We start from the raw sequence: 12,900 nt of genomic DNA, 5'->3' as shown, positions 1-12,900 counted from the left end.
TTCCAGCATTCGGTTGTGCAGCTGTGTGTATACATGCGCGTGGGGGAGTAAAATACTTTACCATGTTGCACTCTGAGAGGAAAATGGAGACTATGAACTAGTTTATTAATCTTTGGATTTCCTCCCTGTTTCCCCACCTGAGCCCCAAATCCATAGTGACTGGAAATCAGTGGTTTTGGGCTTACTCAGGAGGCTGCTTGCGGCAGTTGCTGGCCAGAACACCCGACGGGGTTGTTTCTGAGCTTTGCCTCTGTGACTGGGGCTATTGCACAAGCTCCCCTGAGGACACACTTGCTGCTTTGGGCCTCGGTGGCCCGGCCTCTCCCTGGCGCTCCCGGGCCCGGGAGCGCTCACCTGTCGGTTCCCTGGACTCTGCGGGCAGGCGCTGGCTGATTCCCGGCTGCGCGGACACCTGTGCGCTCCTGCATTTAGGGCTCCTTTGCTCTGGTTTCATCACGCAGGATGTCACATTTTGTGCATATTATTCTCTAGCTCTACTACTTTTCATTGTAAACAAACAATCATTTTCTAACCTGCCGTCGTGGAAGGCAGAGTGCAGACCGACCCTTCCCGGCAGGTGGGGGCTGAGAGCCAAGAGCGCTGGAACCGCTAGTGTGGCCTGACAGCTTCCTCCAGCTCCTTGGTTTATTTGCAAACTGGACTTCCAGCACCAGGCCCCCTGCGACCCCCTCCTGCCTTAGTCCCGTGGGATCGGGTAGTTCAAGATTTTGAATTCATGGTTTGGCACACACCGGCAAGTCTGAAAACCTGCGGGTCAGAGTGGGGCGGAGGCGTGGGCCCCCTACCCTCTGCCCCCTGCCCCCTCGGAAGCGCAGCCCTCTTCCAGGGGTTGGGACGAGCTAGCGCGGGGACCCGGGGCACCGGCAAGGACCCACCCGCTACTGGGACCTGGCGCCGGCGGCGCCTCTCGCGGGGTGGCACCGCCCACTTCCGCCTTCCGCGGGCGCGCGCTGCGCAGTCTTCGTCACAGCGCGGAGGCCTTTTGTCCTCCCGCCCTCCCCGTAGTGGCCGTAACCCGAGTGACATGTTTCCTTGGGGGCGTGGAGGGGCGGGGTCGGGGCCGGAGTGGGCCGTCAGCACTTAAAGGGCCCGCGGCTCGGGCGTAGGAGGCGGTGCCTCTGCAGCAAGCGTGGGGCGCGGGAACCCGAGCAGGTTCGGGAGACGGAATGAAGGGCCGGGTGGGCTCGCGAGGGGCCGGGGAGTCCGCGGGGAGCGAGGGAGTTTCCGAGGGGCGGGTCGTGTTCCTGGCAGCGTCCCTCCAGGGCAGGCCCGCCCCCTTTGTCCCAGTTCCCCGCTGCCCGGGCTGGGGCGGCCGGGGTTCATTCATTGCCGGCCTGAGGACTCCTAGCTCGGCCCCGCTCCGCGCTACAGCCCAAAGCCCAGCCTGAGACCCAGCCGCCCTCGTATGCCCACGGCCTAGCTCCCCTTCCCTCCAACAGACAGACTGGGAAAACCGAGTGGGCGACGGCTGAGCAAGGTCACTCCGCTGTCGGGGGCGCAGCCGGCCTCAGACCAGCTTTCGTGCTTCCCAGGGCCTCTCTGCGACCACTTTCGGGGTCCGCGCCAGGCGCGGGGCGGGGGCGGGGGCGGCTTCGGCGCGGCGGGCAGAGTCCAGCGGGCAGCGGTGGGGGAAGGGCGAGCCGCCTGGGGAGAGGGCCGGGCTGCGAGCCTGGCGATCCAGATTCCAGCCCGCTGTCGCCAGCTGTGGGACCGAAGGGCAACTGTTTCACCTCTCTGGCCCTAGTATCTGTATCTGTAAAGTGCCAGTGATAACACCTGTCTCACCGAGATGCTGGGGGAATTCAGGAAAATCATGCAAAAGTGCCTGGTACGGAGCCTGGCACGCAGAGGGCTCTTGGTCAAGTGGGTTGGAGCTGCGTGAGCCCAGAAGGGGATAGAGGCAGCGTGGAGGAAGGCGGCAGCGGGCCCGGTCGCTGGGAATGAAAGGCCTCAGTGTCTGGGGCTTCCTCCCCGTACTACCCGCAGAGTTTGTTCAGGGTGGAGGTGCGCACCTGGCCAAGTCCACGTCTACACGGCCCACCCAGAGTAGCCTAAGTTGGGCGGGATTCCTAACTCTGAGCCAGGAGTGACCGGGCTGGCCCTGGCATGGGCAGAGGCTGAGCGGGGGTTGGGGTGGGGCCCCCTCCAGGACCAACCACGGTGTGGTTGCCCCTGAGCTGGCCTCAGCCTGCCTGGCAAAGGACCTCACCCTTGAGGCCATGTGATCTATTTCCTGCTTCCTCCCAGCTGACCCTTGAGGGAAAGGGGGTGGGGGCCGCCTAGAGCAGGAGGTATTAGTCACTGCGCCCAGGAGCCAGTTTACACCTAGCGAAGGCGGAGGCATTGGACAAGCCTGGGTCTGAGCAGACAGAACCCCTTCCTGCGACCCTGGAGTCCCAATCGTGCTGCCATTTTCCTTCTGCCCAGGACTCTCCAGTCCTCAGTCACCTTGGACAAAGAAGTGTGGATCCTCAGATTCCATCTTTTCCAACTCCAAGGCAAGTGGAACTAGAAAATAAGGTGCCTGTGTGTCAGGTCTCCCCAGCTCTGCTGTGGCGGGCCCTTAAGATCACCTCACTGAACCCTCACGCTGCCTCATGAAGTTTATACAATTATTAGCTCTGTTTTACAGAGATAGAAACTGAGGCCAAGAGGCTAATTAATTTCCAAAGCCTAAGGCCAGAAAGTGATGGTACCCAGACTTGCCCCAGGGCTGACTTCTGAGCCAGTCTGGTACCTAGGGCACACTGCCGCCTCCTTCCAAAGCGAGCTTAGGGGGCAGGATTCCAGTGGGAAGGAAGCTCTGAGCAGGCAGCCTCAGCCACCTCTGAGACTCTGTATCCTGGGCCAGGTGCCATGGCAGAGAAGGTGCTGGTAACAGGTGGGGCTGGCTACATTGGCAGCCACACGGTGCTGGAGCTGCTGGAGGCTGGCTACTTGCCTGTGGTCATCGATAACTTCCATAATGCCTTCCGTGGTGAGCGGGGCAGTGGGGCTGGGGCTACTTGAGGGGATGGCAGAAGCAAAACCCTGGGTTCCACCTCCACCACCGGGCGGGGAATGTGTGTCTGGCTAGTCCCTGGGAACACAGCACCCCATGTCGTGATGATGTGGCCTACATGTACCCTACCAGGAGGGGGCTCCCTGCCTGAGAGCCTGCGGCGGGTCCAGGAGCTGACAGGCCGCTCTGTGGAGTTTGAGGAGATGGACATTTTGGACCAGGGAGCCCTACAGCGTCTCTTCAAAAAGGTGGGTGCAGGCTGGGCACGGTGGCTCACGCCTGTAATTCCAGCACTTTGGAAGGCCGAGGTGAGGAGATCACTTGAGCCCAGGTGTTCAAGACCAGCCTGCTCAACACAGTGAAACCCCATCTCTACAGAAAAATACAAAAATTAGCTGGGCATGGTAGCCCATACCTGTGGTCCCAGCTACTCGGGAGGCTGGCATGGGAGGATGGCTTGAGCCTGGGAGGTGGAGGTTGCGGTGAGCTGAGATGGCACCACTGTACTCCAGCCTGGACAACAGAGCGAGACTGTCAAAAAAAAAAAAAAAGGTGAGTGCAGGCAGGCAGGCTGAGGGCATTGCCAAGGACTAAAACCAGTAGAGCAACCTCTGGCCATGTCACCCCTGCAGTACAGCTTTATGGCGGTCATCCACTTTGCGGGGCTCAAGGCCGTGGGCGAGTCGGTGCAGAAGCCTCTGGATTATTACAGAGTTAACCTGACCGGGACCATCCAGCTTCTGGAGGTGAGAGGCATGGGACAGGGCACAGACACTAGGAGGGTGTCCAGCTGGACCCCAGCCTGGCAGGCAGTGCCAAACACAGAGCCCAAGCTGTATCATCCTGGACTCATGTCTTTACCTCCCAGTCTCAGTTTCCCCATCTGTAAATGAGAGTGCTCATCACCTCAGCCCCATTCTCCTGTGGAGGAGTAACAGGGTGGGAGTAATGTGTGAGGCAGAGGTCACTGATGCCATCTCTCCACGGCCAGATCATGAAGGCCCACGGGGTGAAGAACCTGGTGTTCAGCAGCTCAGCCACTGTGTACGGGAACCCCCAGTACCTGCCCCTTGATGAGGCCCACCCCACGGGTGGTTGTACCAACCCTTACGGCAAGTCCAAGTTCTTCATCGAGGAAATGATCCGGGACCTGTGCCAGGCAGACAAGGTGAGGGCCCCCTTGACAGTGCCCTGGCTCCACTGATCGATGGACTCCTCAGGGCCCACCCTGAGCCCAGGGGTGGGATTCCGAACACCCCCACTAAGGAGGAAGCTAAGGCTCAGGCAGTTGCAGTGGAGGGCCCCATCCCCTGCTTGTTTCTAAAGATAATAAATAGACAACTGGCCGGGCGCAGTGGCTCATACCTGTAATCTCAGCACTTTGGGAGGCCCAGGTGGGCAGATCACCTGAGGTCAGGAGTTCAAGACCAGCCTGGACAACATGGTAAAACCCCCATCTCTACTAAAAATACAAACATTAGCCGGCCATGGTGGTGTGTGCCTGTGGTCCCAGCTATTCGGGAGGCTGAGGCACAAGAATTGCTTGAACCTGGAAGGCAGAGGTTGAAGTGAGCCAAATCAGGCCACTACACTCCAGCCTGGGCCATAGTGAGACTCCATCTCAAAAAAACAGAATAGGCATGAGGAGGGCTCTGGGTTCAGCTGGGACACGCTGCCTGTGCCTCTGGCCTCACCACCTGACCCACATCCCACAGACTTGGAACGCAGTGCTGCTGCGCTATTTCAACCCCACAGGTGCCCATGCCTCTGGCTGCATTGGTGAGGATCCCCAGGGCATACCCAACAACCTCATGCCTTATGTCTCCCAGGTAAGGCAAAAGGGAAGGGACAGAGGAGTGGCCCTGGGGTTAAAGCTGGTGCCTGGGATCTGGGACGAACTGACCTGATCTCCACCTCCAGGTGGCGATCGGGCGACGGGAGGCCCTGAATGTCTTTGGCAATGACTATGACACAGAGGATGGCACAGGTGAGCCTAGGACCAGGGGGACCTAGGAGTGGGAGCCAGGAAGGAGAGTCAGGGGGAACAGACTCCCCATCCAACACACTCCCTTCTCTGCAGGTGTCCGGGATTACATCCATGTCGTGGATCTGGCCAAGGGCCACATTGCAGCCTTAAGGAAGCTGAAAGAACAGTGTGGCTGCCGGGTAGGAAGAGAAGGGAGAAGTGAGGGAGGGGAGGGACCAGATCCAGGCAGAGCGGCCCAGAGGCGTGGTCAGTCCAGCCCGCTCCATAAACCCTGTTCTCCGTGGGCCAGATCTACAACCTGGGCACGGGCACAGGCTATTCAGTGCTGCAGATGGTCCAGGCTATGGAGAAGGCCTCTGGGAAGAAGGTAGGCCCCCCCGCCCCACCCACCTCACCCACCTCACCCCACCCAGCTCTCAGCAACAGAGCAGCTTTGGCCCTTCCCACTCACCTCTCTGGAGGGTACCTGGCACTGCCCAGTCTCCTCAGCCTGCCTAGCACCCGGTGCCTGCGGGCCAGCCGCTGCTCTGCACTTCTGCTTCTTAAAGACCTGGCCAGCAGCTGGGCCAGGGCCGGCTCAGCTAAGCTCCAACTACCTCCTGTCTTGCAGATCCCGTACAAGGTGGTGGCACGGCGGGAAGGTGATGTGGCAGCCTGTTACGCCAACCCCAGCCTGGCCCAAGAGGAGCTGGGGTGGACAGCAGCCTTAGGGCTGGACAGGATGTGTGAGTGCTGGCCTGACCCCTGCAGTTAGGGGCCAGGGAGGGGCTAAATCAGATCTGGGCATGCCCACCCAGGGCGGGCTGTGGGGTGGGGGAGGCTCTGCATTCCACCGTGGGCCCTGAGCACACACCTCGCCGTGTTGCAGGTGAGGATCTCTGGCGCTGGCAGAAGCAGAATCCTTCAGGCTTTGGCACGCAAGCCTGAGGACCCTCCCCTACCAAGGACCAGGAAAAGCAGCAGCTGCCTGCTCTCCAGCCTCTGGCAGGAACTCAGGGCCCTGGAGCTGCTGGGGCCAAGCCAAGGCCTCCCCTACCTCAAACCCCAGCTGGGCCCGCTTAGCCCACCAGGCATGAGGCCAAGGGCTCCACTGACCAGGAGGCCGAGGTCTCTAACTCTTATCTTCCACAGGGTCCAAGAGTTCATCAGGACCCCCAAGAGTGAGTGAGGGGGCAAGGCTCTGGCACAAAACCTCCTCCTCCCAGGCACTCATTTATATTGCTCTGAAAGAGCTTTCCAAAGTATTTAAAAATAAAAACAAGTTTTCTTACACTGGGGCAGGTTCTCACAGATGGTCACTATCCACCCCTGGAATAGAATCAGCCAGGCCTGAGCGTTGAGGAAGCAATTTCTTTAATTTTATCGGAATCCAGGACACAACAAGAAAAACACCCAAAAACCACATGGAGACAGAAGACGAGACACAACTCCTCCCCCACTGCCTCCCTGCTCTAGAGTGGGGACAAAGTGGGGGTGAGACAGCTGGGGGGAGACCTGAACCTCAGTCCAGCCCTACAGGCTCCAGGCCTGCAGGGAAGGAGGGTAACGGGGAGGCAGGGCCCAGCCCCCCAGTGTGGGGAAACAGCTGAGGGAAGGCCCCCCTCAAAAGGCTCCACCTCCTCACCAGCACTCCTGCCCAGGGACAGGGAGCCCACAGCAGCAAGGGGACCCCGGGGCCATGGCCACATTCATGACTGAGAAGCAGCTGAGTGGAGGCAGGAGACACGATTATCTGGGCAGAATCAGTTGGGGCAGGGGCCTGGGGGGGCCCCATGGGCCAAACCCTGAGGTCACAGGAGGGGGCCCAAAGCGGGGCTAGTGAGTGAGGTCCTGAGTGAGTGGGTCAGCGGCTGGGCCCCTTTCTCCAGCTGCCTGTAGCCCCTCCAATACTGCTGCCAGGGGGGCCCGCCTCCAGGGAAATGGATAAGAAAGCAGCCTGCCCCTGCTGCAGACAGAGCCAGGTGGCTAAGGCCAGGAAGGAAGGCCCGGCCAGGCCTTGCCACCTGCCCCCAGAGGCCTGTGGGAAAAGGACAGGTCAGGAAGGGTGGGGACAGGGGCTCGACCGGCTCAGATCCAAGATGGTGCCACGCTTGCTTGCTGAGTCCCCCATGAGCTGGGGTACTGCACTGGGGCCAGCGACTAGTTAGACAGGAGGCAGCAGCTTCTCAAGAAATTCCTTCACAGCTGCCATCTCCTGAGGGGATTAAGAGGGGATCACGAGAGGCACCTGGCTGGAGGCAGAGAAGTGGGAGTGGGAAATGGTCCCCCCACTGACCTGAGGACAGGAGCTGTGCATGACACCCGGGTATGTCTTGAACTGGACCCTGGCAGGTGTGACAACAGACCGGAGCTTCTCAGCCGTCAGGGCCCCAAACCGTACGGGCACCATGGGGTCCAGCTCCCCATGGCACTGGAGTATGGCCAGGTCCTTGGCACTGCCATTAGCTGCCTGGAGGCCGGACAGGACTCAGGGCAAAGCTAGTGCTGCAGCAGTCCCCAAGCCACGAGGATGCAGACACAAAGGGCGGGGGGGTCAGTGGGGACATTCACCTGGGGGAAGGCCCGGTGCAGAGGCAGCCAGCAGCTCAACGCCACGATGCCAGCCAGAGGGTGGGGGCAGGTGAGGGCCGTGTAGAGGGACAGGGCCCCGCCCTGGAGGGAGGAGAGAGAGGGGTCATGAGGGCACAGCTCACTCACCGGCCACCCCTACCCCCTACCCCCCCACCCCTCTCCCCTCACCTGTGAAAAGCCTCCCAGGACGATTCGATTGGCAGGGATCCCGTTCTTCATTTCATGCTCAATCAAGGCCTTGACTGGGGGAGGGGGCATGAGTGGGTAGAGGGAAGCTGCCAAGGGGCCCAATAAGGGAGCTAGGCTGAGGAACCGCCCAGCGCTTTCCTGGGGGGCAGGGGAAGGAGGATGTGGAGGAGGGGCTGGGGTCTTACTGTTCTCTGCTGCCTTCTTGATGCCAGCCTCGTCCTCTGGGGCATCTGGACTCAGCCCCATCAGGTCAAACCTTGGGAGTAGAGGCACTGGCAGCTATAGAAAACCCCAGCCAGCCCCCTGTGGCTCCCTCAGCCCAAGTGTCCTCGTCCCCCTGCCCACCCCCACTCCCAAACTCACCAGGAGGGCATCACCATCTTCATGTTGAGGGTCACAGGGATCCTAGGCCTGGGGAAAGAGAGCCAGAGGGCCCATCATGCTCAGGAGGAATGAGGAGGCCAGAGCTCAGAGCCCGGAGTGGGGCCGCGCCGCCCCTGGTGGCCCCTCCCAGCAGGCAGGGCCTGTGTTTAAGGTGTTGCCAGGCAACCTGCCACGTGGGGCTGGAGGCTGTGGTTGGGGCAAAGCGCCAGTAATGGAGAAGCAGAGCCCAGCGCTTGGTGTGACGGGGTCCCAGGTAGTCGGTGAGTACTTGGGGAAGGGGCAAAGGGAGGTGTGGGTTCTAGGAGAGCTCAGGTCTAGGAGGCCCTAGGGCTGGGGGCTGGTGCTGGACCCCACTCCTGGGGGCTCCACAGGAGCTCAGGCTGAAAATGCCACTTCTGACTGCCCTGAGCCCAAGCCCCAGGATGCAACTGACAGGAGAGAACAGGCCTGGGATGACAGGACCACCCCCAGATGATCCCCAGCCTCAGCCCCTCCCTTGCTGGGGTGACACTCACGCATGGGGACAGATGTACTTGACGTGAGGGAGCCGGATGGTGGAGAGGGCGTCAGCCCAGCTGTGCCTGTAGGAGGGACGGGAGAAAAGGCTCCGATGTGGTAGGAAGAGAAGGCCTCTCCAGTCCGCTGCTGGGCCAGGACCCCTCCTTAAGGAGCACCCCTCCTCAGTCACTTACCCTGTGTCTCCAAGTCCATGTAAAAAAATAACCTGGAAAAGGATGGGAAATGGGGAGACAGGAAGGCTTCCCCTAGGTCCTCCAACTTCTGCCCACCCCTCCCCCACCCCCAAGGACCTGGGGGAACCCAGGTAGCAGCCAAACAGGTTACTACCCCGAGCCTGCTGGCCTCAGGATACTCCCTGCTCATCACTGCCACCTCCATTTTCCCACACCCCCTCCAGCCGGTCCTCCAGCTGCTCCCACAGTGTCTGGCCGTGGGTGAAAGGGGACCCTTACCGCGGCCGTTTCCCGCTCAGCTCCAGACACGGTGGCAGCATCGGTGAGCAGGGGCACAGACATGGTGTTACCACACATACACCACACGGCTCCACGGCGGGGGCCTGCATACATCGGGGCGGCGGTCAAGAGCAAAACCAGGCACAGGACACACTCCTGGCCCAAGAGGCCACCAGGCCATCAGCCCCACACAGCACCCAGGTTCTGTCCTGGGCACAAAGAATAGTCAAGCAAGAAGTCCCAGGGCACAGGAGAAGAAGTCTGCCTCAGTTCCAGGGCTGAAAGGCAGAGACAGCCTCCCTAGTGGCCCAGAACATGTGTCTCTGGTTCTGGCCCAACCACAGGACCTGAGCTTGCTGGAGACAGGCAGAGGCAGGGCATAGGGACTGTAGGGCAGGGGGCAGAGGGGAGGCAGCGGCACGCCTGCTTCATTCCCCCTCTAACTCCTCAGGGGTGAGTGCCTTCCCCCTCCTCTCCAATCATCCCTGGGTCCCTGCCTCCCCAACTCCGGGCCCTATGGGAAATGGAGAGAAAAGTGCCAGGGAAAGGAGCTTCCATCCCCTACTCAGTGCCGCCTCCAACCCCCATCTCAACCTCCCCCCACCCAGCCCCCATCCAGCCTTCACAGCAGTTTCTGGCCCATCCATTCCCAGACCCCCAGGGGGCTGCCCATGTCCCCAGAAAGCGTAAGAACTCCACCCACCCCCAAACTGGTGCTCCACGCCCCCCCTAAACGGAGCTACCTGCTGCTGCTGCCACTGACTGCAAACGAGCCCTGGCTTGACCACGCTCTGGGACTCCCAAACACACAAAAGAATGTCAGGCTGGCTGGCCCCTCCCCATCCTCGGCGTCCTCCAAACTCGCCGGAAGCTTCCACTACCTGCCTCAAGTGCCTGCCCACCCCTCCCAACTGGCCTCACCTTCCATCTCTGACCCCTGAGGGCAGCTCCCCACAATGGGATCGTTCACCTGTGACCCGGGGTTCCTCTTCCCATGGGGAATGCACCTCCTGCCCTGAGCTGCGATTCCCTTCCTTCTCCACCGTGGGGACTTGCACCTCCCGCCCAGGCTCCCTCCTCGGAGGGGTGCCTTCCCCCTGACCTGTCTCTCTCTATACACCTTGAGAACTTCCACCCTGACCCAGGATCTCCCGCTCCCCACAATGGGAACTTCTGTTCTGACCAAAGGTCACCCTACCCAGTGAAATTTTCTACCCTGACCCAGGACTCCCACCTGCCCACAATAAAGCTTTGTACCTTTGACTCTGGGGAAGCCCCCGCCCCACAATGGGCTCTTCTATTTCCGACCCTGAAGTCTGTCTCTTTATACTCAGACACCCCCTTGCCTAGCCCCGCTCCACTCCCGAAGTCCCCAAGACTGGACAGCGCCTTCGCACCTCACTCCCCACCCCCATCCCCCCCATCACGGTTCCCCCTCCCCGCTCTCCGGGACCCTCCCGAGGCCGACCTCCCCCTACACGCCCATCCTCCGCAGCCGCCGGCTGGGTACCTCCACTCCCTGGGACTTCCGAGGCCGCTTGGGCGATTCTCCTCTTTCTCCCGCAGACACACTCTTCCCCCTCGGCCGCCCCCGCCGGAACTTCCGTTCGAGTCCCGGGAACCCAGCCATCGCGCTGCCGGAAGTAGCCTGGCCGACAGTACGGAACCCGGAAGCGGGGACCCGGCTTCGCTGGATAGAAGCTGCCATGTTGGAGGCGGCGGGGCTACTCCCTGTCATTCAGCCGCGCAGTCGCTGGGTTCTCACCCGCTCCCACCTTGTAGATTCGAGACAGGGCACCCAAGACTCCCACTTGCTACCACCACCCATGCGCCTCCTGGAGGAGGGCCGACCGGAAGGAGAGGCATCCCTCACACTATTGTTTGCATAAACTTTACCACCTTCCCATCCTCATGGGACACACCTCTTAAGGCCTCGGGTGTCTGCCACTGGCTTTCATGCCCTATTCCAGGATCATGAATGGAATGACACACTCTGAACCGAAGAGACCTTACAGATCATCTAGTTCTCCAGCCTTGAAGATGGGGAAACTGAGGCTCAAGGAAGGCATGTAAACAGCAACCTCGGGATTCCATTTAAATTCTGCCTCTCTGGATCTGCTTCCTGATATATAAAATGGTAATAACCACCCTGCCTCCTTCACAGCTTTGTTGGTAGGCTTAAATGAGGTTGTGTGAACATGGTTTATACAGTAAAATCACAGCGTGAGGTGTTAATCACGCAAAAAAGGACCTAGGAAAAATACAAAGGCCGTATCAGGAGAGCTGGACAGGCACTGGCAGTGTTAGCGCTGCCCTTCACAAGCAATGTCATGCAGACAGTGCACAAAACGCTGCCATCAAGCTGAAGTGGAAATAGGTATCAGGGACCACAGAAAAGTCAGAAGGCAGGCAAACTGAGTTGAAGGAGCATGTCCCTGAGAATGTGTGGGGATCTGCAAATAGGAAATGAGTCACACTTGACCCTCAGCCGCTTAGGACTCACTCTCCCAGCCTAACCTATACTAGTGTTTTCTTTGAACAGAAAGAAAACAGTACAGCCAGGCGCGGTGGCTCACTCCTGTAATCCCAGCACTTTGGGAGGCTGAGGCGGGCGGATCACGAGGTCAGGAGATCGAGACCATCCTGGCTAACACGGTGAAACCCTGTCTCTACTAAAAATACAAAAAATTAGCCTGGCGCTGTGGCGGGCGCCTGTAGTCCTAGCTACTCGGGGGGAGGCTGAGGCAGGAGAATGGCGTGAACCCGGGAGGCGGAGCTTGCAGTGAGCCAAGATAGTGCCACTACACTCCAGCCTGGGCAACAAAGCGAGACTCTGTCTCAAAAAAAAAAAAAAAAAAAAAAGAAAGAAAAGAAAAAGAAAACAGTACAAAGTTGGAAGCTCAACAAAGCACTTTCCCCCAGGCCCAGAGGCACTTTGGTCCTAAGTACTCAACAGGTCAGGGAGCCTACAATACCAGGATTCGGGGCAGGAAACCTTTGAGCCTATGGGACCACCACAAGCCAAGGACCCAGGACTGAATGTCAAAAGAAAATGGAGGGTAATGTCCCCACTTATGGAAGAATGAACAGTTCCTCCTGCAACCTCGATCACCTGAGACACCATGACACTTAAAACAAATTCTTCAGAGTGAAGCTTCAAATTCAGAGGCTCAGTCCCAGGAGCTGTGATTAATGCTTTAATTAGTGGAATTAGTGAAGGGCTAGTCTGCTCTAAGATTTTTAACTTTATTTTTCCCCCTACTCCAAATTTAAACATAGCCCTTCTTTTAACTCCAAAAAATGATCCAACTGAAATAAAGAGGCTGTGGCTGAGTGAATAGGACCCTTCATGCTTTTCAAGAACAGCATTTGCATTCTGGTTTATTTCAGGCTGCATTTTAGAAATTTTGAGGGCCAACAAGGTTTGGTGGTAGCAGACCTTTCCTAGGACAGGCTGGAGAAACAGTGGCTATATCCTCCAAACAACAGCATGGGCCAATGCCTCAGAGGAATTCTCCCAAAAGGATCAGATTCAACACTAATTCCCTTTATTACCTGTTCCTGTTTTCTGCAAGGGAGAGAATACTGACCATATCAAATCCCCTTTTTAGATACTTACATTCTCTTCAATTGCTAAACTGACTTTCAAAATTTAAGTCCAAAGTCTTTGGTCTACCTGGAGACCACATGAGCTGCTCAATTACTTTCCTCACCCTCATTTCTTCTGATGAGCTCCAAAATCTGTTCTCCCTTATTTTTGTAAATGTCATTCTACA

General features: G+C 58.8%; 2 protein-coding genes and 1 long non-coding RNA gene across 6 annotated transcripts, besides 4 other annotated features; 2 read left to right on the top strand and 1 right to left on the bottom strand.

Moving 5' to 3' along the window:
- Positions 721-930: a silencer, noted in NCBI's record as "silent region_426". NCBI's record gives its function as "represses an Ori minimal core promoter by ATAC-STARR-seq in GM12878 lymphoblastoid cells {active_cell/tissue: GM12878}" and the evidence as "EXISTENCE:reporter gene assay evidence [ECO:0000049][PMID:35858748]".
- Positions 1,091-1,570: a silencer, noted in NCBI's record as "silent region_425". NCBI's record gives its function as "represses an Ori minimal core promoter by ATAC-STARR-seq in GM12878 lymphoblastoid cells {active_cell/tissue: GM12878}" and the evidence as "EXISTENCE:reporter gene assay evidence [ECO:0000049][PMID:35858748]".
- On the top strand, positions 1,131-6,286 carry GALE (UDP-galactose-4-epimerase). 3 transcript variants are annotated; one of them, NM_001008216.2, is made up of 12 exons: positions 1,131-1,173; positions 2,449-2,519; positions 2,873-2,998; positions 3,155-3,270; positions 3,655-3,768; positions 4,014-4,190; positions 4,738-4,851; positions 4,943-5,009; positions 5,103-5,188; positions 5,299-5,376; positions 5,620-5,734; positions 5,878-6,286. In NM_001008216.2, exons 3-12 carry the CDS (start codon positions 2,878-2,880, stop codon positions 5,934-5,936), a joined length of 1,047 nt encoding a protein of 348 aa, NP_001008217.1. In that variant the 5' UTR covers positions 1,131-1,173; positions 2,449-2,519; positions 2,873-2,877; the 3' UTR covers positions 5,937-6,286. The 3 variants fall into 3 exon arrangements, with proteins under 3 accessions (NP_001008217.1, NP_000394.2, NP_001121093.1); NM_000403.4 differs by lacking the exon at positions 1,131-1,173 and adding an exon at positions 1,307-1,498; NM_001127621.2 differs by lacking the exon at positions 1,131-1,173 and having other exon boundaries at positions 2,338-2,519.
- Positions 1,621-1,720: a silencer, noted in NCBI's record as "silent region_424". NCBI's record gives its function as "represses an Ori minimal core promoter by ATAC-STARR-seq in GM12878 lymphoblastoid cells {active_cell/tissue: GM12878}" and the evidence as "EXISTENCE:reporter gene assay evidence [ECO:0000049][PMID:35858748]".
- Positions 6,346-10,740, bottom strand: LYPLA2 (lysophospholipase 2). 2 transcript variants are annotated; one of them, XM_005245728.6, is made up of 10 exons: positions 10,635-10,740; positions 9,125-9,333; positions 8,846-8,877; positions 8,669-8,734; positions 8,133-8,180; positions 7,955-8,025; positions 7,749-7,822; positions 7,560-7,661; positions 7,285-7,458; positions 6,346-7,203 (listed from the first exon to the last, which is right to left on the bottom strand). In XM_005245728.6, exons 2-10 carry the CDS (start codon positions 9,236-9,238, stop codon positions 7,153-7,155), a joined length of 732 nt encoding a protein of 243 aa, XP_005245785.1. In that variant the 5' UTR covers positions 9,239-9,333; positions 10,635-10,740; the 3' UTR covers positions 6,346-7,152. The 2 variants fall into 2 exon arrangements, with proteins under 2 accessions (XP_005245785.1, NP_009191.1); NM_007260.3 differs by having other exon boundaries at positions 9,125-9,228.
- On the top strand, positions 8,353-11,271 carry LOC105376860 (uncharacterized). Its single transcript, XR_947067.3, has 2 exons — positions 8,353-8,413; positions 11,095-11,271. It is a non-coding gene; the product is annotated as an uncharacterized LOC105376860 (long non-coding RNA).
- Positions 10,503-10,562: a silencer, noted in NCBI's record as "silent region_423". NCBI's record gives its function as "represses an Ori minimal core promoter by ATAC-STARR-seq in GM12878 lymphoblastoid cells {active_cell/tissue: GM12878}" and the evidence as "EXISTENCE:reporter gene assay evidence [ECO:0000049][PMID:35858748]".
- Positions 11,272-12,900: the final 1,629 nt, after the last annotated feature.

This window comes from Homo sapiens, chromosome 1 (genome assembly GCF_000001405.40).
Source record: "Homo sapiens chromosome 1, GRCh38.p14 Primary Assembly".
Lineage (NCBI taxonomy): Eukaryota > Metazoa > Chordata > Mammalia > Primates > Hominidae > Homo > Homo sapiens.
The sequence above is the reverse complement of the archived record's forward strand: the minus strand, read 5'-3'. Positions and strand labels throughout refer to the sequence as shown.